General features: G+C 35.8%; 1 protein-coding gene across 12 annotated transcripts in view; it reads left to right on the forward strand.

Moving 5' to 3' along the window:
* The window catches only part of ADAMTS19 (ADAM metallopeptidase with thrombospondin type 1 motif 19), a 278386-nt gene that overhangs the window by 121588 nt on the left and 131238 nt on the right, over window positions 1-25560 (forward strand). For all 12 annotated transcript variants that reach the window (XR_007058587.1, XM_047416876.1, XM_047416878.1 and 9 more), the window contains one exon: window positions 14674-14779. Coding sequence is in view for 11 of the 12 variants with exons in the window: in XM_047416876.1 (XP_047272832.1) it covers window positions 14674-14779 (106 nt within the window). In the remaining variant the exon portion in view is untranslated. The remainder of the gene's footprint in view (window positions 1-14673; window positions 14780-25560) is intronic.

A 25560-nucleotide genomic window follows, 5' to 3' on the forward strand; every position in this document is an offset into this window, starting at 1 on the left:
GTTCAGTTTCCATGTAGTTGTGCGGTTTTGAGTGAGTTTCTTAATCCTGAGTTCTAGTTTGATTGCATTGGGGTCTGAGAGACTGTTTTGATTTCCATTCTTTTGCATTTGCTGAGGAGTGTTTTATTTCCAATGATGTGGTGAATTTTAGAATAAGTCTGATGTGTTGCTGAGAAGAATTTATATTCTGTTGATTTTGGATGTAGAGTTGTGTAGATGTCTGTTAGTTCCACTTGGTCCAGAGCTGAGTTCATGTCCTGAATATCCTTGTTAATTTTCTGTCTCATTGATCTAGTATTGCCAGTGGGATGTTAAAGTCTCCCACTATGGTTGTGTGGGAGTCTAAGACTCTTTGTAAGTCTCTAAGAACTTGCTTTATGAATCTGGGTGCTCCTGTATTGGGGGAATATATATTTAGGATAGTTAGCTCTTCTTGTTGCGTTGATCCCTTTACCATTATGTAATGCCCTTCTTTATCTTTTTTTTTAATCTTTGTTTAAAGTCTGTTTTATCAGAGACTAGGATTGCAACCTCTGCTCTTTTTTTTGCTTTTCATTTGCTTGTAAATATTACTCCATCTCCCTTTGAGCCTATGTGTGTCTTTGCATGTGAGAAGGGTCTCATGAATACAGCATACTGATAAGTGTTGACTATCCAATCTCCTAGTCTGTGTCTTTTATTTATTTTTAATTTTTTTAATTTTTTGAGACGGAGTCTCACTCTGTTGCCCAGGCTGGAGTGCAATGGCATGATCTCGGCTCACTGCAAGCTCCGCCTCCCAGGTTCATGCCATTCTCCTGCCTCAGCCTCTCGAGTAGCTGGGACTACAGGCGCCCACCACCATGCCCAGCTAATTTTTTTTTTTTTTTGTATTTTTTAGTAGACCATGTTAGCCAGGATGGTCTTGATCTCCTTGACCCTGTGATCTGCCTGCCTCAGCCTCCCAAAAGTGCTGGGATTACAGGTGTGAGCCACCATGCCCGGCCCAGTCTGTCTTTTAATTTGGGCATTTAGCCCATTTATATTTAAAGTTAGTATTGTTATGTGTAAATTTGATCCTATCATTATGATGCTAGTTGGTTATTTTGCCCGTTATTTGATGCAGTTTCTTCATAGTGTTGGTGATCTTTACAATTTGGTATGTTTTTGCAGTGGCTGGTACTTATTTCTCCCTTCCATATTTAGTGCTTCTTTCAGGAGCTCTTGTAAGGCAGGCCTGGTGGTGACAAAATCTCTCAGCATTTGCTTGTCTGTAAAGGATTTTATTTCTCCTTCACTTATGAAGCTTAGTTTGGCTGGATATGAAATTCTGGGTTGAAAATTCTTTTCTTCAAGAATATTGAATATTGGCCCCCAATCTATTCTGGCTTGTAGGGTTTCTGCAGAGAGATCTGGTATTAGTCTGATGGGCTTCCCTTTGTGGATAACCTGACCTTTCTCTCTAGCTGCCCTTAACATTTTTTCCTTCATTTCAACCTTGGTGAATCTGACGATTATGTGTCTTGGGGTTGCTGTCCTTGAGGAGTATCTTTATGGTGTTCTCTGTATTTCCTGAATTTGAATGTTGGCCTCTCTTGCTAGGTTGGGGAAGTTCTCCTGGATAATATCCTGAAGAGCGTTTTCCAAGTTGGTCCCATTCTCCCCGTCACTTTCAGGTACACCAATCAAATGTAGATTTGGTCTTTTCACATAGTGCCGTATTTCTTGGAGGTTTTGTTCATTCCTTTTCATTCCTTTTTCTCTAATCTTGTCTTTGTGCTTTATTTCATTAATGTGATCTTCAATCTCTGATATCCTTTCTTCTGCTTGATCAATTCAGCTATTGATACTTGTGTATGCTTCACGAAGTTCTTGTGCTGTGTTTTTCAGCTCCATCGCATCATTTCTGTTCTTCTCAAAACTGGTTATTCTAGTTAGCAATTCCGCTAACCATTTCCAAGGTTCTTAGCTTCCTTGCATTGGGTTAGAACATGCTCCTTTAACTTGGAGAAGTTTGTTATTACCCACCTTCTGAAGCCTACTTCTGTCAATTTGTCAAAATCATTGTCTGTCCAGTTTTGTTCCCTTGCTGGCGAGGAGTTGTGATCATTTGGACGAGAAGAGGCATTCTGGTTTTTGGAATTTTCAGCCTTTTTGCGCTGGTTTCTCCCCATCTTTGTGGATTCATCTACCTTTGGTCTTTGATGTTGATGACCTTCAGATGGGGTCTCTGACTGGATGTGCTAATCCTTTCTGTTTGTTAGTTTCCCTTCTAACAGTCAGGCCCCTCTGCTGCAGGTCTGCTGGAGTTTGCTGGAGGTCCACTCCAGACCCTGTTTGCCTGGGTATCACCAGGAGAGGCTGCAGAACAGCAAAGTTTGCCACTGGCTCCTTCCTCTGGAAGCTTCATCCCAGAGAGACACCCACCAGATACCAGCCAGAACTCTCCTGTATGAGGTGTCTGTCAACAACTGCTGGGAGGTGTCTCCCATTCAGGAGGCACGGGGGTCAGGGACCCACTTGAGGAGGCAGTCTGTCCCTTAGAAGAGCTCAAACACTGTGCTGGGAGATCTGCTGCTCTCTTCAGAGCCGCAGGCAGGAACAATTAAGTCTGCTGAAGCTGCACCCACAGCCGCCCCTTCACCCAGGTGCTCTGTCACAGGGAGATGGGAGTTTGATCTATAAGTCCCTGACTGGGGCTGCTGCCCTTCTTTCAGAGATGCCCTGCCTAGAGACGAGGAATCTAGAGAGCCAGTCTGGCTACAGTGGCTTTGCAGAGCTGAGATGTGGGCTATGCTGAGTTTGAACTTCCTGGTAGCTTTGTTTACACTGTGAGGGGTAAACCGCCTACTCAAGCCTCATTAATGGTGGATGCCCCTCCCTCCACCAAGCTTGACCATCCCAGGTCGACTTCAGACTGCTGTGCTGGCAGCAGGAATTTCAAGCCAGTGGATCTTAGCTTGCTGGGCTCCATGGGGGTGGGATCTGCTGAGCTAGACCATTTGGTTCCCTGGCTTCAGCCCCCTTTCCAGGGAGTGATTCGTTCTGTCTTGCTGGTATTCCAGGTGCCACTGTGGTATGAAAATAATCTCCTGAAGCTAGTTAGGTGTCTGCCCAAATGGCTGCCCAGTTTTGTGCTTGAATCTCAGGGCCCTGGTGGTGCAGGCACCTGTGGGCAACTCCTGCTCTGCGGGTTGCAAAGACAGTGGGAAAAGCGTAGCATTTGGGGCCGGAATGCACCCTTCCTCAAGGCACAGTCCCTCATGGCTCCCCTTGGCTAGTGGAGGGAGTTCCCCAACCCCTTGCACTTCCCAGGTGAGGCAATGCCCTGCCCGCTTCTGCTTGCCCTCCGTGGGCTGCACCCACTGTCTAACCAGTCCCAGTGAGATGAGCCGGGTAACTCAGTTGGAAAATCAGCGATCACCCACTTTCTGCGTTGATCTGGCTGGGAGCTGCAGACCGGAGCTGTTCCTATTCGGCCATCTTGCCAGCAACCCTCCAGTCTTTTTCTTTCTAATATATATTATGAACTTCCCTAAGGACAGTTTTCATTTTAGGCTACACATTTTTAATGTGTTCTTTTTTGTAATGACTATGTTAAAATATTTTCTAATGTCAATTATACTTTTTTAAAAATAACTTTTGAACACTTGTACTATATCCCTACTACATATTGTTGCATATATTTTGAATTTGGGGAGATATTAACATTAATGTTTTATGTATTCAATATTTGTTTATGGCCAGTCTTCCTGGTGTTCTTCATTTCTTCCTGCATTTCCGTGTTTCAATTTGCAATGATTTTTCTTTCTGTCTGAAGAAACAGTTTTTGTATATAGGAAAACATTCTTATGGTACCTGTATTTTTAAAAAAGTTGTTTCACATAGTATAGAATTAGAGGTTGGCAGATTCTTATTTGTTATAAAACTTTAAACATGCCATTTCATTATTTCCAGCTTGTATTGTGATGTTGCAGACACCTGTCAGCTTTATTGTTGTTACTTTGAAGTGAAGTTTCCTTTTTCTCCTGGGCACTTTTAAGATTCTCTTTTTTTCCTTTTCATTTTCAGCAGTTTTGCATTGTGTTTTGTTCTGTTTGTTTTGTTTGATTCTGCTTGTTGCTTCCCAAGCCTTTAAATTTCTTATAGACTATTTTTTAGAGCAGTCTTAGGTTCACAGCAAAATTGAGTGTAAGGTACAGAGGTTTCTCTTACACCCCCTGTCCACACATATGCATAGCCTCCCCCATTATCAACATTCACCACTAGAATGGTACATTATTTTTACAATTGGTGACCTTACATTCACACATTACTATCACCCAAGTCCACAGTTTTCATTAGAATTCAGTCTTGGTATTTTAAATTCTATGGGTTTAGACAAATGCATAATAGTATCCACATTATAGTATCATATAGAGTAGTTTCTCTGCCTTAAAAAATCTTCTGTGTTCCACCTATTTATTCCTTCTTCCGCTCTTAATCCTTGGCATCCACCGATCTTTTTACTTTTGCCATAGTTTTGCCTTTTTCAGAATGTTACATAGTTGAAATCATGCAATAGGTAGCCTTTTCAGACTAGCTTCTATCACTTAGTAATGTGTATTTAAGTTTCCTCCATCTCTTTCCATGGCTTGATAGCTCATTTCATTTTAGCACTGAATAATATTGTTGGATAGAGATACCAGTTTATGAAACCATTCACCTTTTCCAAGTTTTGGCCATTATGAATAAAGCTGCTATAAACATCCATGTGCAGGATTTTGTATGGACATAAATTTTCAGCTGCTTTAGGTAAATACTAACTAGTGTGATTGCTGGATCATATGGTAAGAGTATGTTTAGTTTTATAAGCAATTGCCAAACTACCTTCCAATGTGGCTGTACCATTTTGCTTTCCAATCAACAATGAATGACGGTTCCTGCTGCTCCACATTCTCTTCAGCATGTGGTGTTATCCGTGTTTTGAATTTGGGCCTTGCTGAGCTTTGTTTATTCTGTGTTGCCTTACAATTTTTTTCGAAATACATTTAATGATTAATTCTCAAATAAAAATGTCATATTTTGTTGTCTGTTTCCTCTAAGATTCAAATTAGAAGAATGCAACACCTGTGATTGTGTCTCACATGTATACTATGTTCCTCTTTAAAACATTTTCTAATTATTTTCTTCTCTGTTGCTGGAATTTGGGTATTTTAAATTAATCCAGGAAACTATTTATCTCTCCTCCTATGTTTAATTTGCAGTTACATTATCTATTGAGATAATAATTTACTGATTATCAACTACTAATTATATATGTAATTATATAATCTACTGATTATAATCTACTACTAGAGATCATAATCTACTAATCTCAAATACTGTAATTTTCAAATCAAGAATGTCTGTTTGATTTTTTTTATAAATCCCAATTCTTTGAGAGTTTCTGCATCTTTTATCAATTTTGTCTAACTTTTACTCGATGTTCTTTTTTTTTTTTAAATCTCATCTGCTAACTGCTATATTTGGTCACTCCTTGGTGACAGTTTATTGTCGTGGTTTGTTCAAATTGACCTGCTCACGCAAGCCTGGTATTTTTTGAATCAATGATTAATTTTTAGAAATCTCTGCAGCAATGGAGGTTCCAGATGATATTATTATATAGGAGAAATGATTTAGTCTTTCTTTGTCTAGACAGATAGTATGGGAACTAATGATCTAATTTGGGACTGTATTGTGTCACAAGTTCACATGGAGATTCTGTTCGGCTCTTCAGAGGTTTGGGGTTTTGCTATTTAAAATACCATTCCATGCCAATTTTAGAATATGGCAATTTTCTTGAAGGAGAATACTCTATGGCTTCTCAATTCTCCAGTTTTGTTACTCCGGCTTGTGCTACTGTCAAAATCTCCAGCCTTTTATGAACAGTAAAATCCAGTGCTGGGTGGCACCTCCCACCCCCAGGTTTTTTGTTGTTGTTGTTGTTGTTTCTTCTGCAGTTGTACTCTTCTGGATCAAGTCCAGCTTCTCAGTCTCTAGTTCTTGCTAAAAATCAGCAAATACTAACAGGGAAAAAGTGCCTTTAGTGATTTTGCTCACCTTTGAGACTCTCTCCTATTTTTAGGATTTAAAAACTTCTAGTCTTTTTTGTTTCTATAGTTCACTGATGCCTTTACAAATATTATTTTCTGTTTTATCCAGCCTTCATAGTTGTTCCCAACAGGAATATTGGAACACTATGAACTACTCTACACTGTGTACCACTGGCTTTGTTATGTAATGAATGGATACGTTTACTTCTACAATATTTATTATTTCCACTGTAGTTCCTCTTCTTTGATCCATACATTATTTAAAACTCTGTTCCAAAATATCCACTTTTTAGGAGGAAGAAGAGAGGGAGGAATTGGAAGGGTAACCATTTTCTTGTTGATTTCTAATTTTATTGCAATGCAGTCAGAGAATATTACCTCTATGACGTTGTTCTTTGTATAGGTAGTAAGTGTTGTTTGGTGGCATTGGCAACTTTAGAAAAAGTTCGATACATGTTTGAACATAATATGAATCTTCTAATTGTTAAAGTCTGTGTGTGTGTGAGAGAGAAAATTAGATAAAACTTTTTAGATGGAATATTTAGATTCTCTGTATCTTTACTTTCTTTTCATCTATTGAATCTATCAATTATTGAAAGATCAGTTATTGATACTAGTTTAGAATTATCTATATTTTATCATTAGTTTGAGATGAAATTGCAACATACACATATATTAAATACTATCAAATACTTCTTATAATTATATAATTATTCCTTTTATGCATAATAATATTTTTACCTCAAGGTATATTTTGTAAAATATTAATATTGTGAGCCAGCTCTTTGGGGGTTATTTTATTTGGTGATTCTTTGTTGTTGTATTAATTATTAAGCTTTACATGTGTTATTTATGGCCAGATATATGGGAATTTTATTAAACCCAATTCAAGAGGTTTTTAAAGCAAGTTCCTTTTACCCTAATTTGACTACTAATATATTTTACTTTATTTCTGTTTTCATTTTACCCGATATTTTCTCTCCAGTTGTTTTCTTTTTTACTTCTATTGCAATGATTATTTTAAATTTTCTTTTCCCCTATTATTTTGCTAGTTATTAATTATAGTTCTTTATATCAGTACTCATTTTAAAAAGTACATATTCTTATATTAACATAGTCTAAAATTAGTTATTTCTATCCTGAGTCTGAACAATAGTAGAGTTTAGATTTGTTCATGTTTTATCTAATTTTATGCTATTGAATTCACTATATTACTTCCTTCATTGCATAAATCTCACATACCTCAAAACTTAGACATTATTATTACTATCACTGTTTTTTTTTAATTGAGAATGTTTATGAAGATTTTCATGCCAGTTTTCTTGTATTTGCCCCTTGTTTCTATGGTCAGCTTCCTTTTTTTTGTAGCACTTTTTTTACTAGTTCCTTCACTGAGGGTCTTTTCCAGATTAATGCTTATTGTAATAGATAAATTTTCATTTATACATTTGTGTAGTTATTTATACATTATAATTACATATATGTTATCCAAATGTATAACGGATATATATGTATACACACAAGTACATTACAACTGTATACATCATACATTTGTGTATTTACTTGAACAACTTTTATCACAGATCAGTGAAAGTTTTTATTCTCAAAAAACTGTTTATTACACCAATAATTGTATATGAAGTATTATTATGAAGTGGTTTCTTTCTCTAACTTACAAAAAGATATATTTGGATTGTGGTGGCCCAGTAAATGTGAACTTCAAACTCTCTCTCTTTATGTTAAAAAAGTATTTATTTCATCATCATTTTTCTCTAGTTTTATATCTGTGGTCTGTCTCTTCACAGGGAAACATTTCTTTACTTGGTTTGTAATTATGATTTGTGAGCTCATATTCAGTGGAACATGTTTCCCCTTTGAGAACTTCATGCTTGCTGAGGTGATAAAGTGTCTTATCATAGTCATATTTCATTTGTTATCACAGGACTAGCAAAGATCTCCACATAATAGGAGATCTTTTATGTTACATATATGGCTTAGTATTTCTTAAGCTTCATACTGATGTTCATGTGCTCACGGTAGCTTCGGGTTTTGATTTCTAGCATTCTCAGATTTTTTTTAAGCCAAGTTTTCTTGATACTTCCCTGCACTGACAGATTCTTAAAGTTATTTTCAAATATGCTTGATGGTAGTTAACAACAGCATTTTCAGGCTTTTTGATTTATGCATGAATCTCCATCCCCTACTCACCAGTACCTGTACTCACAGACATTTTGAAACCACACATTTATTTAATCAGTTATATATCTTATCTGATACTCAGGCAGTGGCAGCATCAATTCATGATTTTATCTCTCCAGATTTGAATTTTTTTAAACTTTAATTTTGCACCTGGGAATTATCTTTTCTTCTTCAACCTCAGCTATACATTCAAAAAAATGTATTTTACCTATGATTTGTGATTTCTACGTGTTTTTAGCGAAAGGGGATTCAGTCTACCATGAAGCTAGAATGCATAAACAACACTTTAATATCCATACAATATTCTATCTTATTTGATCAGAGATTTATTATAACTTTTATTACACTCACTCCTTTCTCTTTCTAGATCAGTTTTTTCTTAGTATTCATAAAAACTGCACGTTAAGAGTGTTGTAAATTACTTAAACATTTAAGAAAATCTAGAAGGCTTTTTTAAAAATATTTTTTTAAAAATAGAAATTAACTGCGCTGACACCAAACTTGTAACTTCCGTAAGAGTATTTTTACATTCCTAGATCACCTTCTTGTCTTTTAATGAAACAGGCAGATTATTAGTCAACTAGTGAGACAACTTATTATTGAAAAATATGTTCAAAGCCCAATTTGAATTTAATCATGTAAATGGGTTTCATATTATCTGGGTACCATTCTTATATCATTCCATATTTTTTTCTCATTAGTAGATAAAATGAATTTTGGTTCTTCACAATTACATTTTTGTTGGATTGCACTGGATCACATTACATGTTAATCTTTGTTTCAGACAATTTCACCTGTGCAGTTCCTTTAACACACCCTTTACTGAGGAAATCCTAAATACAGTGTTGATGCGGAGATGTGCTACATGGTTGGCACCCTAGGCCACCACCTCTGTGAGAGACATTAACTTTCATAAGCATCGCTTGCCCTTTTACCCTGTTTAGTCCTTTGTTCAGGGACTCCCTCCAACTCCCATTGCCTTTCCCTGGCTAACCCCTGCCCATTCAATGGTATCACCAAGTTGTTGCCCTCTCTCAAAGCCTTTCCTGCTTACATTTTTCTCTACCTTATTTCCCTTTTATATTCTCCCATAATATCTTATGTACATCTTTATGTGTTAATGAACAGATTTTAAAATGAGCATTTTAAAATTACACTTTTTTTTTTTTTTCTGAGATGGAGTCTTGCTCTATTGCCCAGGCTGAAGTGCAGTGGCACAATCTCGGCTCACTGCAACCTCTGCATCCCAGGTTCAAGCAATTCTCCTGCCTCAGCCTCCCGAGTAGCTGGAACTACAGGCATGCACCACCACGCCTGGTTAATTTTTGTATTTTTAGTAGAGATGGAGTTTCACCATGTTGGCCAGGGTGGTCTCGAACTCCTGACCTCAGGTGATCCATCTGCCTCAGCCTCCCAAAGTGCTAGGATTACAGGCATAAGCAACCATACCCAGCCAAAGTCACACTCCCAAAGTCATACTCAGCATTTTTGCACCTTCACTGCTTGTCATGTATTATGATTTTTCTTCTGTTATGCTTCAAATAATAGTAAGACTCATAGTAAGACTCACAGATTACAGTCATAGGACCAGTAATTAACTGGAACTTCGCCAGGAGTTTGTACCAAGAGTGCCTGGATTTTGAACTCAGGTAGCTTAGATAATGCTTAAAAACAGCACTTCTGGAGCCCAGAGACTTAACTTTTGTTAGAATGCATCCATCTGATCACATAAAAACTCTGATTTCTTCATTAGTTCCATTATTGGAAAAGGCATCCTGGAGGGTTTTAGGAGTCTGTGATCATCTTATGAGGTGTGTCACATAACATCTGGCTTGTGTTTTGTTTTCTGATGAGAGATTCAATTGACTTCTTGTACATGACTCATTTTTAGTTGAGAAATGAGAAGGCTGTTTTTGTTTGCTTTTTATTTCCAGAACTTTTTGTATTAAAAAAAATTGAGCTGGGTGCAGTGGCTCACGTTTGTAATCCCAGCACTTTGGGAATCTGAGGTGGATGGATCACTTGAGGTCAGAAGCTTGAAACCAGCCTGGCCAACATGGTGAAACCCCATCTCTACTTAAAATACAAACAAATTAGCCGGGTATGGTGGCAGGTGCCTGTAATCCCAGCTACTTGGGAGGCTGAGGCAGAAGACTCGCTGAAACCGGGAGGCGGAGGTTGCAGTGAGCCGAGATCATGCCACTGCACTCAGCCTGGGCGACAGAGTGGGTCTCCGTTTCAAAAAAAAAAAAAAAAAAAAAAGTGCTTTGAAAAGGGCCTCTATTGCATCTATCTTTAAATAACATCTGTGTTAATTCCTTTCCCTTTTAAACTCATCTCTTATTATAATAACACACGTGGGTTATTGAACTGAAAAGCTAGGCTTTTAAACAGAATAATTCAAATCATTTACATTAGTCGTGGTTACAGTCATTCTCTATAACTTTCAAATCAAATAAAAAATTCCTTGGTGTTCCAAATCTAAGAACAATGAAATTTAAATTTATCAGAGTCTCAGTTGAAGATTCTGACTTTACACTTGAGCAAAATAAGAATAGGAATAGATGGTCACTTTAAGGGTTCTTTTGGGTCATTCTTTGTCTTACAGACCTCACCCTAGTCTATAAGAAGTTCTACTAATTACCATTCAAATTTCATAGACATGATTATCATGTTTATAAGACTTTAATTTTCTCATGATAAAACTGTATCTTTTTGTTCATATGAATATATGATGGTATGATATTTTTGATACATAGTTGCAATCATACCTCTATGTAAGTATGCACTCATCGTTTTTGAATATTTTATATTTTATATACATTTACATTTTATTGCATAAACATGCTATTATATTATAAACTATTGGCTTTATCATCGTATTTTTTTACATGACCACATGATAGTCATTGATTTCCTATAACTGGTGTTTATGGGTTTCCATAATCCAGAATTCCAAGAGAGGCCCCTGTATCATAGGGCTGGAACAAGAAAGAAACAAAAGTTGTATACTTGTCACATTCCTCCTGTTCCCCACTGGTGCTTCTAAACCCAAATCTCTCTGATCCTGAAGTTTTTGAGCCTTAGCATCTTAAAGCTGTGATTGATCTTGATTCTCACCCACATTTCTTATGGATGTTGGCCACCTACCACTGTCCCAAGTTCTTTCTGGTCATGTGCAATTTCACGTTTATATTATTAGTTCACCCAACACTATTTAATAATGATTTGACCTCAATCTAGATGACCTCTACCTGCACCCTTCTTTACTCTTGTGACAATACCTAGTCATGTCTCAGAACTTTCTCTCTGAAATCTTAAATACCTAAATCTCACTCCCTGATAAAGTTCCTTTTTTTTGTAAAATGTCTGCTCTTTTTCATCACTGATGATTCCATTCTCTTTACTACTGTATTCTTTTCTCCAAATTATCGGGCTCCCTCTAACCTTACTCTTTTACTCATTCCCCATAGATCCCTGTAAGTGTTATGCCTTCTTTCACTTTCAACTTCACTGACAGCTTTTATACCTTTGGTCTTTCTCCACACATGATCTGCAAAACGTCAACCTAAATTGAATCTAAATTTACTCATCTTTGTTTCAGCCACTAGGATGAATATCACTCAACTGAGTACTATGTTAGTGCTCTCCAAACTCATGCACTCCATCCTCAGCTGAAGCAACATATTTTCTGACTCATTACATTAAGCACTCCTGTAGTACTTATTCAGCTCTTCCATATTTCCCTCAGTGGCTGTTCTAATCTTTGAATCCTTTTCCAAATATTACTAATAAACTTCCATTCACCTTTGACCTATATATCAAATAATGTTGCCTCCTTCTTCACTCAGACATGCATTGATATCAGAAAGTTATTTCCCTAAGTTAGTAAGGTATTCTATGAATACCTTCAGCAAACATCATATGCAACTGTGAAACTGTAAACATTCCTGTTAAACTCAGAAGGAAAAATAAGGAGCTCAGTATTGCCCATATATTTCAATAGTATGTTGGAAATCCTAGCCAATGCAAATTAGAAGAAATAAGAATTAGAAACAAGTGGCAGTACTATTTTTATGTGGGGAAAGTATAATATTAGAATGGATACTGGAGAAGACATGTAAAACTCATTAAAGTGACTGAAGTTTATATGTCCTAGTCCATGTGACAAACAGGTATATGACATATGATAACCCATGTTAGCTGAGTTTTAAATCTGAACAGGGTGGTGGGACTGTTCTAGCTGTGGTGAAAAAAAGTGGCAAAATATATGGGAATCTTAAGAGAAAATTTGTACCAATCAATGGTAGCAGCATGCTAATTACAGTGAGCTTAATTTAGTATTTTGGGGGGACGTTTAATCTCAAATTATTATTTTATTTTCAAATGCTGTAACTTTTAATACCCTATTTAGAGGAGATATTTTCTTTTATCCTCCTTCTTTCTTTTCTTTCTTCCTGCCTTCTTCCATTTGATTATAATGCAAAATTAATTATCTCAAAATCTTCGTTTTCCACTCTTTGTTGTATTCATGTGATTTAGCTCTCTTAAAATTCATGTTATCTTTTATGTTTAAATCAAATTTTAAAGTTTTTATTTCATCTGTTGTTTAATAGAACTATAATAAAAATATGATTTTCTCCTTCTCCCCTCCTCTTCTCCCTTCCCCAATCCCTCTCTGTGTATCCTTACCTTCATCTTTCTGTCCTACTTTGTCTTAATTTAACCTTGAAGTAATTTCAGTTACCTTAATAAGCCAAATGAAGTAACTGGGCTTATCATCTGTCTATTCATCCATCCGTCCACCTAACCACCCATTCATTAAGAAGTCATTTCATCTGTTTGTAGATGATAAATTTCTATAAAATCTATTTTAATTTGTAAAGATATAAAAAAAACTACATCCATATGTGTATTTCGTCTTTTTGCTGTTTCTTCATGTAGTTATGTTTCTAAAAATAATATGTTCATTCTACCTTTTGCTTAAAGATTACATCTCTACTTTCCTGATAGGCCTGTGGATACCAGGCCTTGACATTCTGCGTGAAGGTTTAAATGAGTTGTTGAGAACTTCAGATATACTTTCAGCTAATCTCCATTTTCAACCCTCCTGCATTGCTTTTCCCTAGACCATGTGTGCCTCAGTCTTGAGACTTTCTGGAGTTCCACCCAATTCAGAAGTTCTCTTCTCATCAAAAATCTTCCTCTTGTCATTTAGGCTGTAGCTTTCACTAAATCTGTTCCTATACTTCCCTGAATCTTCTAACTTTGCCACACATGGGCAAGGTGATTCTTTTAAAATTTTATTAAAATAATTTATTTAAATTATTTCTTACCATTATGTTTTGTTTCTGGAGACAGAAAAAAGTCACAAGCAGTCAGTTGACCATCTTTAATTAGGGTAAGCTCTGCATTAAATTTTTTTTAGAAACAAAATATCCAGCAGATGGATTCAAAGGTGAAATTAAGTCCCCATTCCATCATGTTTAGTAATTATGTGATCTTTGGTAAATCAGAACCTCCTACGCCTAAATATCTTAATCTATAAAAGGAGTTTAAAATTTATTTTATGAGGATATGGGAAATAGAGAACATATAGTGGATCAAAAATAATTGATATTATGATAACTTGTTATTTGAAAATAACATTATAACTTACACTTGGTAACAATTCATTTTCTGAAATGATTATTCAAGTATATGTCTTCATTAGTAAAATAGAACATAAATATTTAACTAAAGAATATCAAGGAGTTTAAATATTGCCATTTTTACTGATAATTTATACCAAAAGATCAAATATCTTGCTAAAATTTTATCTTAATATTTCAGTATCATATACTATGCAACACACCATTTAGCCAAGAAATTTTCAAATAAAATCTTTCTAGTATTTTAAATATGATAGATAGCTCTATGCCATATTAGTTAACATAGTATTTCATAAATAGAATTTCACAATTGTATTAATTCAAAATATAAATGTAAGTTCAAGACTGCTTTATATGTAGTTTATTTTGCATTAATTTTTTTGAAACTGTGTTCTTCACAATAATTGAGTATATTTAAAATAATCATTGCTGTTTGATTATATTTTCCAAGTTATAACTATTCATTTGTCTTACATGATGATGAAATTGGTATTTATAACCTATATTCTTATATTATTCCTTTTGGGAACTTGATAATTGGTAAAATAATTTTATCTAAAATATGAAAATGAAAATGATATGAACATTTTTTTGCCTGGCCTATACATATACACTTGCCCCTAAAATTTCATTTATTAGGGCTAGATTTCACAGATTAATACTGACATTTTAGTCGTGACAACTGCCATTTTCATTCCTGCTGCTAATAACTAGTATAAATATTTGCATATTCATTCAGACATATAATAATTAATGTTTGTATTTTTTAGGTATAGCTTACTTGAGTGGAATGTGTAGTGAAAAGAGAAAATGTATTATTGCTGAAGACAATGGCTTGAATCTTGCTTTTACAATTGCTCATGAAATGGGTCACAAGTAAGTAAAAATCATGGCTATGTTAAATATGTTAGCATATAACTTTGTAATTCGAGTTACTGAATTACCTGGATATCTTCTGATTTTTAATTTGGGCTTCAAGTTTTTGAAAAACTAGGGAGACAAGAAGGGGTGAAGACTGACTACATTTAAAGAATGTCTTTTGAGTGTTGCAACTATTCCTGCTTCTTTGAATAAAATCTTATTACATTATTAAAATCCCTATCAAGACAGTCATTACATAGTGCATGATTGATTTCACTACAGATTTGTAAATGATACAAATATTTCCATAATCTTGAGACTACAAAGCTATAAACTTTTCAAACGCTTAGTACAAATGAAAGTAATTCCAGCCTATGGTAGTACCTGTATTTGTTATTACCAGGCATAAGTGAAGGAATTAACCCGCATGGTTTAGATATAATGTATTTGAAAGACAATGAAATTAGACATATAATTAACACATATTGAATATTAACTATGTCTCAGGAACAGTTATAAACATTTTCAATAGATTAGTTCATTTAATACAAAACCCAAAGAGGTAGTTATTGTTCTAATTTTCATTTCACTGAAATTAATAATAGGAATAATTAGTAATAGCAACACTTACATAGTACTTACTATTAATGTTTGCCAGACACGTTTTTAAGTGCTTTGTAAGTACTCACAACAATTTTGTGATGTGTTATTAGTGTACCCATTTTATTGGAAAAATACAGAAATATAGAGAATTTACCCTCCTGAAATTATTAAAATGGCAATTGTTGGAGCGAGGGGTTTGAACTCAAGCCATTCAACTCAGGTCAAACTGTTCCATTAAGTTATCTGTTATCTTCTGGCCTAGATTCCTCGTCAGTGAATCGGGATAATACCTTTGTTATGGGATTAGTTTAGGATTCAAATTACATAAAGCTGTGATCATATTTTTAGGAAGTTTATTAAAGTAGAAATGGAGACCTGGCACGGTGGCTCATGCCTGTAATCTCAGCACTTTGGGAGGCCGAGGTGGGCGGATCACGAGATCAAGAGATCGAGACCATCCTGGCCAACATGAAACCCCGTCTCTACTAAAAATACAGAAATTAGTTAGGCATGGTGGTACGCGCCTGTAGTCCCAGCTACTGGGGAAGCTGAGGCAGGAGAATCGCTTGAACCCAGGAGGTAGAGGTTGCAGTGAGCTGAGATTACGCCACTGCACTCCAGCCTGGTGACAGAGTGAGTCTCTATCTCAAAAAAAAAAAAAGAAAAAAAGAAAAAAAAGAAATGGCACAGGTTGGGGAATCAGACTTAATTTTGAATGCAGGCTTCCCTAATTGCTGGCAGTATCAGCAGTACAAATGAAAGTATTTTAATTGGACTCAGATTTAGTGAGGCCCTACTAGGGAGGTGATCTTTATGGAGGGAGGGCTCTTTAGTTAAAGACATATTTAGTTTGGCCTTCAGTGTTTAAAAAATTCAATTAGTTGCCAACATTAAAAAAGTGTAAATTTGACATAAAAGTAAGATTTGCAGACCTGGTAACACTCAACCCACAGCCCATATGGCAACCATTCCTAGGAGCTGTGTAGGATCTGTACCCTTTAAATTAGACCCATCTTTCTCAGTTCATCAGAGGCCGCAACACCCTAGTATATGGTACACCCAGCTCACTTCATTTTCATTATATTCCTGGAGTCTGTACGCACTTCAGTAAAGTTTAGTTGGCAGTGGAATTTGATTGGTAAAGGAAAGCTTAGAAGAAACAATTTACATTGGACATGACAGTAGTTGATTTAAAAAGTTATTCAAGTAAACACAAGTGATCAAATTGTAATTACACAGCTCACTGAATTAACAAAATTAAATATAGCAATGTATCCATCACCCAGCCCAAGAAACAGAACAATATCAATACCAATTGATTTCTAATTTTTTAATTGACCAAAATTTACTCCATACAAATGTTTTGAAATGTGTATACATTGTGGAATGGCAAAATTGAGCAAATTAACATAAGCATTACCTCACATATTTAGCAGTTGTGTTGAGAACTTAAAATCTACTCTCCTAGTAATTTTCAAGTAATTGATTTTTGATGTCACCATTTTTAAATGTATAGATATGCAGTTGTCCCTCGGTATTTGCCAGGGGATTGGTTCCTGGACCTCTGCATATCCCCAAATCCATGCATATCCAAGTCCAGCAGTTGGTCTTGTGGAACTCACTTATTTGAGAAGTTTGTCCTCTATATATGCAAATTTAGCAACCTGCAAACACTGCAATTTTGATCCTTGTTTAGTTTTTAAAAAATTGCCTGTAAGTGGACCTACACAGTTCAAACCCATGTTGTTCAAGGGTCAAGTGTCCTTTCAGATGCTCCCATACAAGCTTTCAGTCTTCAGTCAACTGACCAAGAATATGAAGAGTTAATTTATTACTTAAAAAAAAAAAGATAAATATACTTTAACATCATCATCCTTTAGGGAAAGTATGCAGTGCAATAACCTTGTTTAATATTTCATTCTAGGAATGATAGGCTATAGATTCTTAATTCCAAAACAATTTTGATAATTGAAAGGTATTTTCAGTTTAGTAATAAAACCTATGAAAAATCATAGGCATCATTTGAAGGAAAAATGCTGAGAATAATGTCTAGAGGCAAGAAAAAATTATTAATAATTAATTTTACAAAGATACATGTCATCATAAATATAATTCTCATAAAATACAGATTTATGAATAATTATGATTTTTGCTCTTGAGCTATGCAGTAACACCTTGATGTACAAACAGTGTATATTTTTGTAAACAGATTTTAAATAATTTTGTCAAGTACCCTGAATAGTTTACTTTTAAAAAGTATATTTTTAAACCGATATGTTTAAAACCAGATATGCAAAATTGATTTCTTCAATCTTCATTGTATTCTAAAATGTAGGAGAAACACTAAGGGAATCAAATACAATACGAGTTAATTTATTAACATCTAAACTGTTGACCATGGAGCTACAACTATTTAAACTAAAAACTAAATGAGGTAATTTAGGGAAAGGCCACTTCAGTTTTATGTAGTAGAAATGTTGGTTTATGACCAGGAGCTCAGATTGGAATAGCTCAAATGGTACGAAAATATTATTTTATTTGACTTTTATAGAGCTGTACCCAAAATCAATAGAGATGTGCCAAAGGTATGTGTAATACTTGATGGACTAGGACCAGAATGTGATATATGTTAAACTACCCCTTTACTAAAAATTCCCCATAGCAGTAAGCAATATTTGTCTCAAAAGTAGTGGCTGGTGTTTTCCTGATGCTAGACAGTGAGAGACAATAGCAGTCAGAATAATGTCATGTTTATAAAAAAACAAACAGGAAGAAAAGTATCTATATGAATTACATCATCATCATTATCATCCACTATAAGATATAAGGCACAATGTAAGAAGAAATGAAGAAAGAAGAATACAAGAAAAAATGTCCATATGCTCATAGTCTCTCTAGTAGGGAAAGTGTTCATGGATGTTAAATAATGGTATCTACAGATTCTATGTGCATGCACCCGTACACACACACACAAACACATACACGCAGAGCCCTTTTATTTAGAGGTATGATTAAGAGCTATGTAAGTGAAACTCTTTAATCCTATATTTTTCTTTTTCGTTTTGGATTTCCTTCTTTCTTTTTTTTGCGTTAAATTTTATAAGTGAAGACTATCTTCTAGAAACTAATAACGAACTATGATACCATGTAATTCTGCAACTTACAATCTTAGAATGACAGAATGATTCCATGTAAACTTTTCAAGAATACCTTTATAATCACATATAAAATGTTTATAAACAGATTTTAAATGAATGTATTTATGTTTGTTGACTTGAATTTGATTTCTAGAAATTCTCAGAACAAGTTCATATATAGCTGGAAAAATCAATACGGTCCACTAAGTATTTAAAAAAATGACTCTTGGGGATGAAAATTTGAGTAAATAAAGAGAACCAACAATTTTTCCTTACTAGTGCAAAGGAATCTAAAACAATGTCAGCAAAAATGTATCGACTTTCTCCTTTGGCAAATTATCAACTTATAAATATATAAAAAAGTGTAAATTAAGATCTACAGTAAGAAAGAGGAAATAAATTATTTAAGCCAACATTTTAAAATTGCCTTTCAGAACAATTTTGCTTCCTAAACAATAAGTAGTAGGAGTTATTATTATTATTATTATTATTATTATTGAGACGGGGTCTCCCTCTGTAGCCCAGGCTGGAGTGCAGTGGCTCGATCTCTGCTCACTGCAACCCTCCACCTTCCGGGTTCAAGCGATTCTCCTGCCCCAGCTTTCTGAGTCGCTGGGATTACAGGTGCGTGCCACCACACCCGGCTAAATTTTTTTTGTTTTTAGTAGAGACGGGGTTTCAGTATGTTGGTCAGGCTGGTCTCGAACTCCTGACCTCGTGATCCGCCCGCCTCGGTCTCCCAAAGTGCTTGGGATTACAGGCGTGAGCCACCACGCCCAGCCAGGAGTTATTATTTTTCTGGTAACTAAAATTTTTGACAAGAAATATTTTTACTGGTAGTGCTGAATTAACACATATTCATCAAATATAATTGGGATCTTCATAATTTAATGTGATGAAGTCTAAAACTTTATTTTTGTGAATGAAAATACTTAGTTTTTCATGAATTTGATGTTTTATTGAATTCATATATATGCACATATTTATTATGTCCACTATATTTTATATGATCTTTATGAACAACAGGTTGTTAAAGTAAGGGATTTTACTTTCATTTTAGGCCAAAACTTATTAATATATTAATTGTTATTAGATTGCTGTGCTTTGAGGGAAGAGGCCCTAAGACTAATCTGAGTTGATTTGCTAGCATAACTCAGAAAACTCAGCAAAGTGGTTTTGCTCATGGTTACAGTTTATTAGCATGGAAGGATATAGATTAAAAGCATCAAAGGAAAAAGTCACATAGGCCAGAGTCCAGGAGACACCAGGCTCAAGCTTCCAGTTGTTCTGTCCCAATGGAGTTGTGCAGACAGTGCTTAATTCTCCCAACAACAATGTGTGAAATCATGCACAAAGTATTGGCAACCCGAGAAGCTATATGAGGCTTGATATCCAGGGATTTTACTGGCGTTTGATCATGTAGGCTTGGTTGACTCCCCACAAGGCAAACCTTCAAGTCTCCATTCCCTCCTGAGGTTAACCTGGCCCTAGTCCCCAACCATAAATCACATTGTTAGCAAAAACCATCCTGGTAGAAGGCCTCCAGCTAAACAAAGATATTCTTGTCAAAGATACTTTGGAGGGATATCCCAAGGACTTAGAGGTTACTTCCAAGGAGTCAGGCAAGGACTAAATAGTTCTTTGGAATGTGCAGATTTTAGACCACTCAAACTTGTGAACTCTTTACTGCAAAATTACACAATTTTATTTTATTTTTTTTGAGACGGAGTTTCACTCTTGTTGCCCAGGCTGGAGTGCAATGGCACGATCTTGGCTCACCGCAACCTCTGCCTCCTGGGTTCAAGTGATTCTCCTGCCTCAGCCTCCCAAGTAGCTGGGATTACAGGCATGTGCCACCACACCCGGCTAATTTTGTATTTTTAGTAAAGATAGGTTTCTCCGTGTTGGTCGGGCTGGTCGTGAACTCCCGACCTCAGGTGATCCGCCCGCCTCAGCCTCCCAACGTGCTGGGATTACAGCACTTCGCACCCGGCCTTACACAATATTTTTAAACTTTCAAAATCCCATATTTTATATTGAGTTGCCAAAGGGTTTCTAATAAAAACAACAGTGTCTTCTTTTATTAGCAGGTATTTTGCTAAATACTATGTATTCATATCTAATTCAACTGCATAAAAATTCTTGAGCTAAGTATTGTTATGATTGTCATTTTACAGATGAGAAAATAAACTAATAGAGATTCATTTTTCAGTTTATGCAATATTAATGTCATTCTCTTTTCATTAAGTATATTGTAAAGATTTTCCTAGTTCTAATAATTGGTTTATTCTTGATTTTTAATGTTTATAACTTGTAGATTTTTTTAATTGTCAAATTTCATACTTTCATAATTTCTTCCGTAGGTTTTTGCAATTACAAGTACTTTCTCATTCTAAAATTAGGGAAACACATTTTTGTATTGTTGTCTTATATTCTCTGTGTGTGTGTGTGTGTGTGTGTGTGTGTGTCTTTCACTGTTTAACACTTTAAGCCATCTAGAATTTACTTTATTATGCATAGTAAATTTCTCTCCACTAAGTTCGTATTTTGCATTAACTGCTCAGTAAATGATCTTACTACTCAAGTGTGGTCTGTGATGAGATAGGGATCTATGCCAGAATATAGGACACTGCTTCCCTCATTGAAAGAGTCTTGACGTGAAAAAAAAAAGCTGAAGTAAACTGTGTGCTTAGTGATGTAGCTGATTTACATTCCGGCACCAGCTACTTATCTGGATACAAATCAGTAATAAAAAGAGTTCATCAAATGGCAGCGAGTGCACAGATCACACTCTGAGTAGCCCTGCCACATAACAGATGTGACAGTCACTGTTCAGTCTAAGTCAGTGTTGCACTAGGAAGTTGCGTGTGAGTTGCCAGAAAGCCATTATTTTTATCTTTGGCCTGAAAGGTGGTCTATACTTGCATATTTTTGTCCTTTTTGTGAAGCATGTAGACATAATCCTATGATACCATTCACTGCAAATAATAAAAGTTGTTCTTTTGTACAAATATTTAGTGGTGTCTTAGATTATTTTGTTATATAAATAAAGATACCATATTTTTATATACACACATACAACGTAGGCTTTTTTTCTTTAGGTCTACAAATAATTCCATTTGCGTTGTGGATTCCAACCAAAAGTAAACTAACCCTTGCATTATTGTGTATGGTTTTAGGAAAATTTAGCCTAAGTCTAAGATATTGTACAATATCTAAATTATCTGGGAAATAATAATTTTAATATACCTATTAATAGCATAATCCCGTGACCATTTTCTGACCTTGCTAAATCTGGACATTTATTGAAGTGCAGAATTTTGCACTGGCTTAGCACATTGAGGCCAAAGACTTCTGCTCCCACCTAAAGATGGAAGGCAATAATATTACTTTAGAGATGATGATTGCCAAAGCTCACACAGCTAATAAGTGCCTGAATCCATGATCAAAGCCAAGTCCATCCAAATCCAAAGCCCATGTTATTAATTACAGTGCTCTGTGAGAAACATGGAAGAGTTCTTCTAGCTAACTTTACTCAACCTACTTCTGGGCTGGCTCGGGATTATCTGTTCCCACTTTATCTCTTCAGCCATACTTCATTTCACACCCCCTTTCATTCTCAGCACTAGAGTTCCCACAGTGTTTCCAAAGTACCATGTTCCAGTGAGAGCACATAGAGACAGGGAGGGGAACAACTCATACTGGGGCTCGGTGGGGAGGAGGTGGGGAGGGAGAGCATCAGGAAAAATAGCTAATGCATGCTGGGCTTAATACTTAGGTGATGGATTGATAGGTGCAGCAAACCACCATGGCACACGTTTTACCTATGTAACAAAAGGCACATGTACCCCAGAACTTAAAAAATACCATGTTCCTTCACACTGCAGGACCTAAGTACATGTTGTTCCTTTACCTGGAGTATACTGACTTTTTAAGCTTAGTTTAATTATCTCCTCCTGCTCAAAGTTCATATACCCCCTCAATAGTCATGTTCTAAAGAAAGCATTCTCTATGGGTCAGTCTCTCTATTAAGCATTTTAGTGGCACCACCTCCTTCGTAAATGCACATTTGTTCATCTGTTAGATATATGCTTCATTAGGCTGTAAGCTTCAAGAGGTGAGGAACCATATCTGTTTTTGCTTATAATGGGATTCTTAATGCATTTGACAGTGCATAAGAAATATATACCAAGAAAACCTGCTTGGTAGATATTAGGCTCTTGATATATATCAAATAAGTGAATGACTGAACATAGTAATCTTAGTAAAGTATCATTATGCATAGATTATCAGTGAAACTTGATTCAAAACAGATGCTGTATGCATATTCAAAGGGTTTAGAATTTTTTTTGATATTGCATGAGACTTTCAATAAAGTATCAGGTAAATTCTTATAAAAACAATATTCTGTATTTTGAAATGTACCCAAGACCACATAAATGAGACTTTATTCTGGTACACACATGCAGAAATGACTACCCCAGCCCTAAAAGTGTTGCCCCTGAAGTCTTCCTATGACAGTAAATGAAGCTCCATCCTTCTAGTGGGACAACCAAAAGCCAAAGAATTATCTTTGAGTGTTCTCTGTTTCTCATAGTCCACATTCAGTTCATCAGCTGTTGACTCCACCTTCAAAATACATCCAGAATCTGATTACTTCTCACTAATTGTCCTGCTAGTTCTTTGGACTAAGCTACCAACACTTCTCATCTGGATTATTATAGTAGCCTCTTAAATAATCTTTCCTTTTTAGCCTTTGCATCCTATAGCCTGTTTTCAAATTAGATTCAGGGAGATTCATTTACAACAAAGCAAATTGCCTGGCTTCTTTACTCAGAACCTTCCAAGAGCTTCCTGGTTCACTCTGTAAAATCCCCAGCCCACACCACAGCCCACCAAGTTCTACATGTTCTAGCCTCCTTCCCTATAGCCTGTCATTCCCTTCTTACCAACTGTGCTCCAGATTCATTGCCTCTTTGTTGAAACTCAAACATAAAAGACTAACAGTCACTTTGGGGACTTGGCCTTTCCTTTGATTTCTGCCTGGAAAGTTCTCCAGAGCAGCCACATGGCTGTCTCCCATTCTTCTTTAGTTCTCCACTCACGTATCAGGGTTCAGTGAGGCCTTTCTGATAACATTTCTTAAAATTGTAAGCACAACCACTGTCTGGCCTTATTCCCCTTTGCCTTCCTTAATTTTATTCATAAAACTTCAAAATGTAACTCTCTACCCTATGTCTCTTTCTTCTGTTTGTATATAATGAGATCTTGTCTACTTAGTTCACTGTCATATTCCCAGCATGTTAGCCATTTATAACTTATGCTTGTAATAGATAGTCAAGAAAATAACCAATATAGCCCTAATAGAGTTTTACATTTGTACAAGTTGAAAGAGACTGCATTAAACATATACCACTTACCCACTGATTGAGAACTTTTTATGATAATTAGACTGTCTACTTCCTAGAGATGTTGAGTTGGGTAAAATTATATGAGTTAGGGGAAATTACTTATATTTCATTTCATTATAAAAATGTCAAGCTTGTTTTGATATGGCCAAAAATGCATATGTATTTTTCATTTTTGTTTTGATTTTTGAACCAGAGAAAAAGGTCTAATATATATAATTAAACTTTGGCATGGAGACATGGTTTTTCCACCAAGTAGGCAATTCAGGAGTTTCTTTGGAACTAAAAGGCTAATGGGGCAACAAATATGCAAAGTTACCTCCTTGAAGGCAATAAATATTTGGGGCACCTGCTAAAATTTTAAGAATTGCCAGAGTACCAAGAATACAGACGTCTTGTGACTAGTAAGCCTTTGGAATCAATAACATTTACATACACACTTACTTCTCTGGAAATTGCGCCTGGATAGAATAGAGGGGAGGGCCAGGTTATATACCTGCTTCTTCAGACATCTGTATTTCTGTTATTGGCACCATTATTGCTACAAGGCCTTTAGTTGAGACATCTGAGCCATCTTTAACTCTTTCTCCCCTTAGTTACTTCCATAATCTGTGGCCAAATTCTATTCATTCTTCGTCCGAGAAAGCTATCTCAACTGTCTATTCTTTCTTCTGTTATTCCTTCTGGCTTGGACTCTTGCAGTATCCACTTAACTGGTGTCGTCTCCTTTGCTACCTCATCTTTCTAATCTACTCACACATTAAGATTCAGCTTCCTGAATTGTGGTCCTAACCTTCATGTCAGAAAACTTTATTGCCTTTCACAACTTAATGAATGAATTTGAAATTCCTTAGCCTGAGATTCATGACTTCTATAGAGTGACTCTAGTCTATTTTTGTAACTTTACAATGGACTTCTCTATTTTATGAATGCAAATGAACTGTAATTTTCAAACATCATGCCTTTATTCATTTTTTTATTATCCCAACTTCCAGCACTAATGATTTATACCTATCCCAATTGTACTTACCTGTTAATGGCCACAACAAATGTTATCACTTTCGTGAAAGTAAATTTGAAAGCCTGGTTGGAAATATGTTTCCACTTTATTTATTTATTTATTTATTTATTTATTTTTGAGATGGAGTCTCACTCTGTTGCCCAGACTGGAGTGCAGTGGCACCATGTCAGCTCACAGCAACCTCCATCTCCTGGGTTCAAGCGATTCTTCTGCCTCAGCCTCCTGAGTAGCTGGGATTACAGGCGCTCAGCACCCCACCCAGCTAATTTTGTATTTTTAGTAGAGACAGGGTTTCACCGTGTTGGCCAGGCTGGTCTTGAACTCCTGACCTCAGGTGATCCACCCGCGGTGGCCTCCCAAAGTGTTGGGATTACAGGCATGAGCCACCACACCCAGCCTGTTTCCACTTTTAAGTCTCTTACACTGATTATTTTAAATATCATTTGTCACTTAGAATTATTTCTGAGATATACTGATTTATACTGATATTTACCTATATATAGGTTCCCAACTGAATAGCAATCTCTGTGAAAATATGATTCATGTCTAATACATTTTTTTCACAGCACGAAGTTGAATGTATTAGACATCATAAGTCTCCAACATATGTTGTACAAGTGAATAAAC

Source organism: Homo sapiens, chromosome 5, assembly GCF_000001405.40.
Source record: "Homo sapiens chromosome 5, GRCh38.p14 Primary Assembly".
Taxonomy (NCBI): domain Eukaryota; kingdom Metazoa; phylum Chordata; class Mammalia; order Primates; family Hominidae; genus Homo; species Homo sapiens.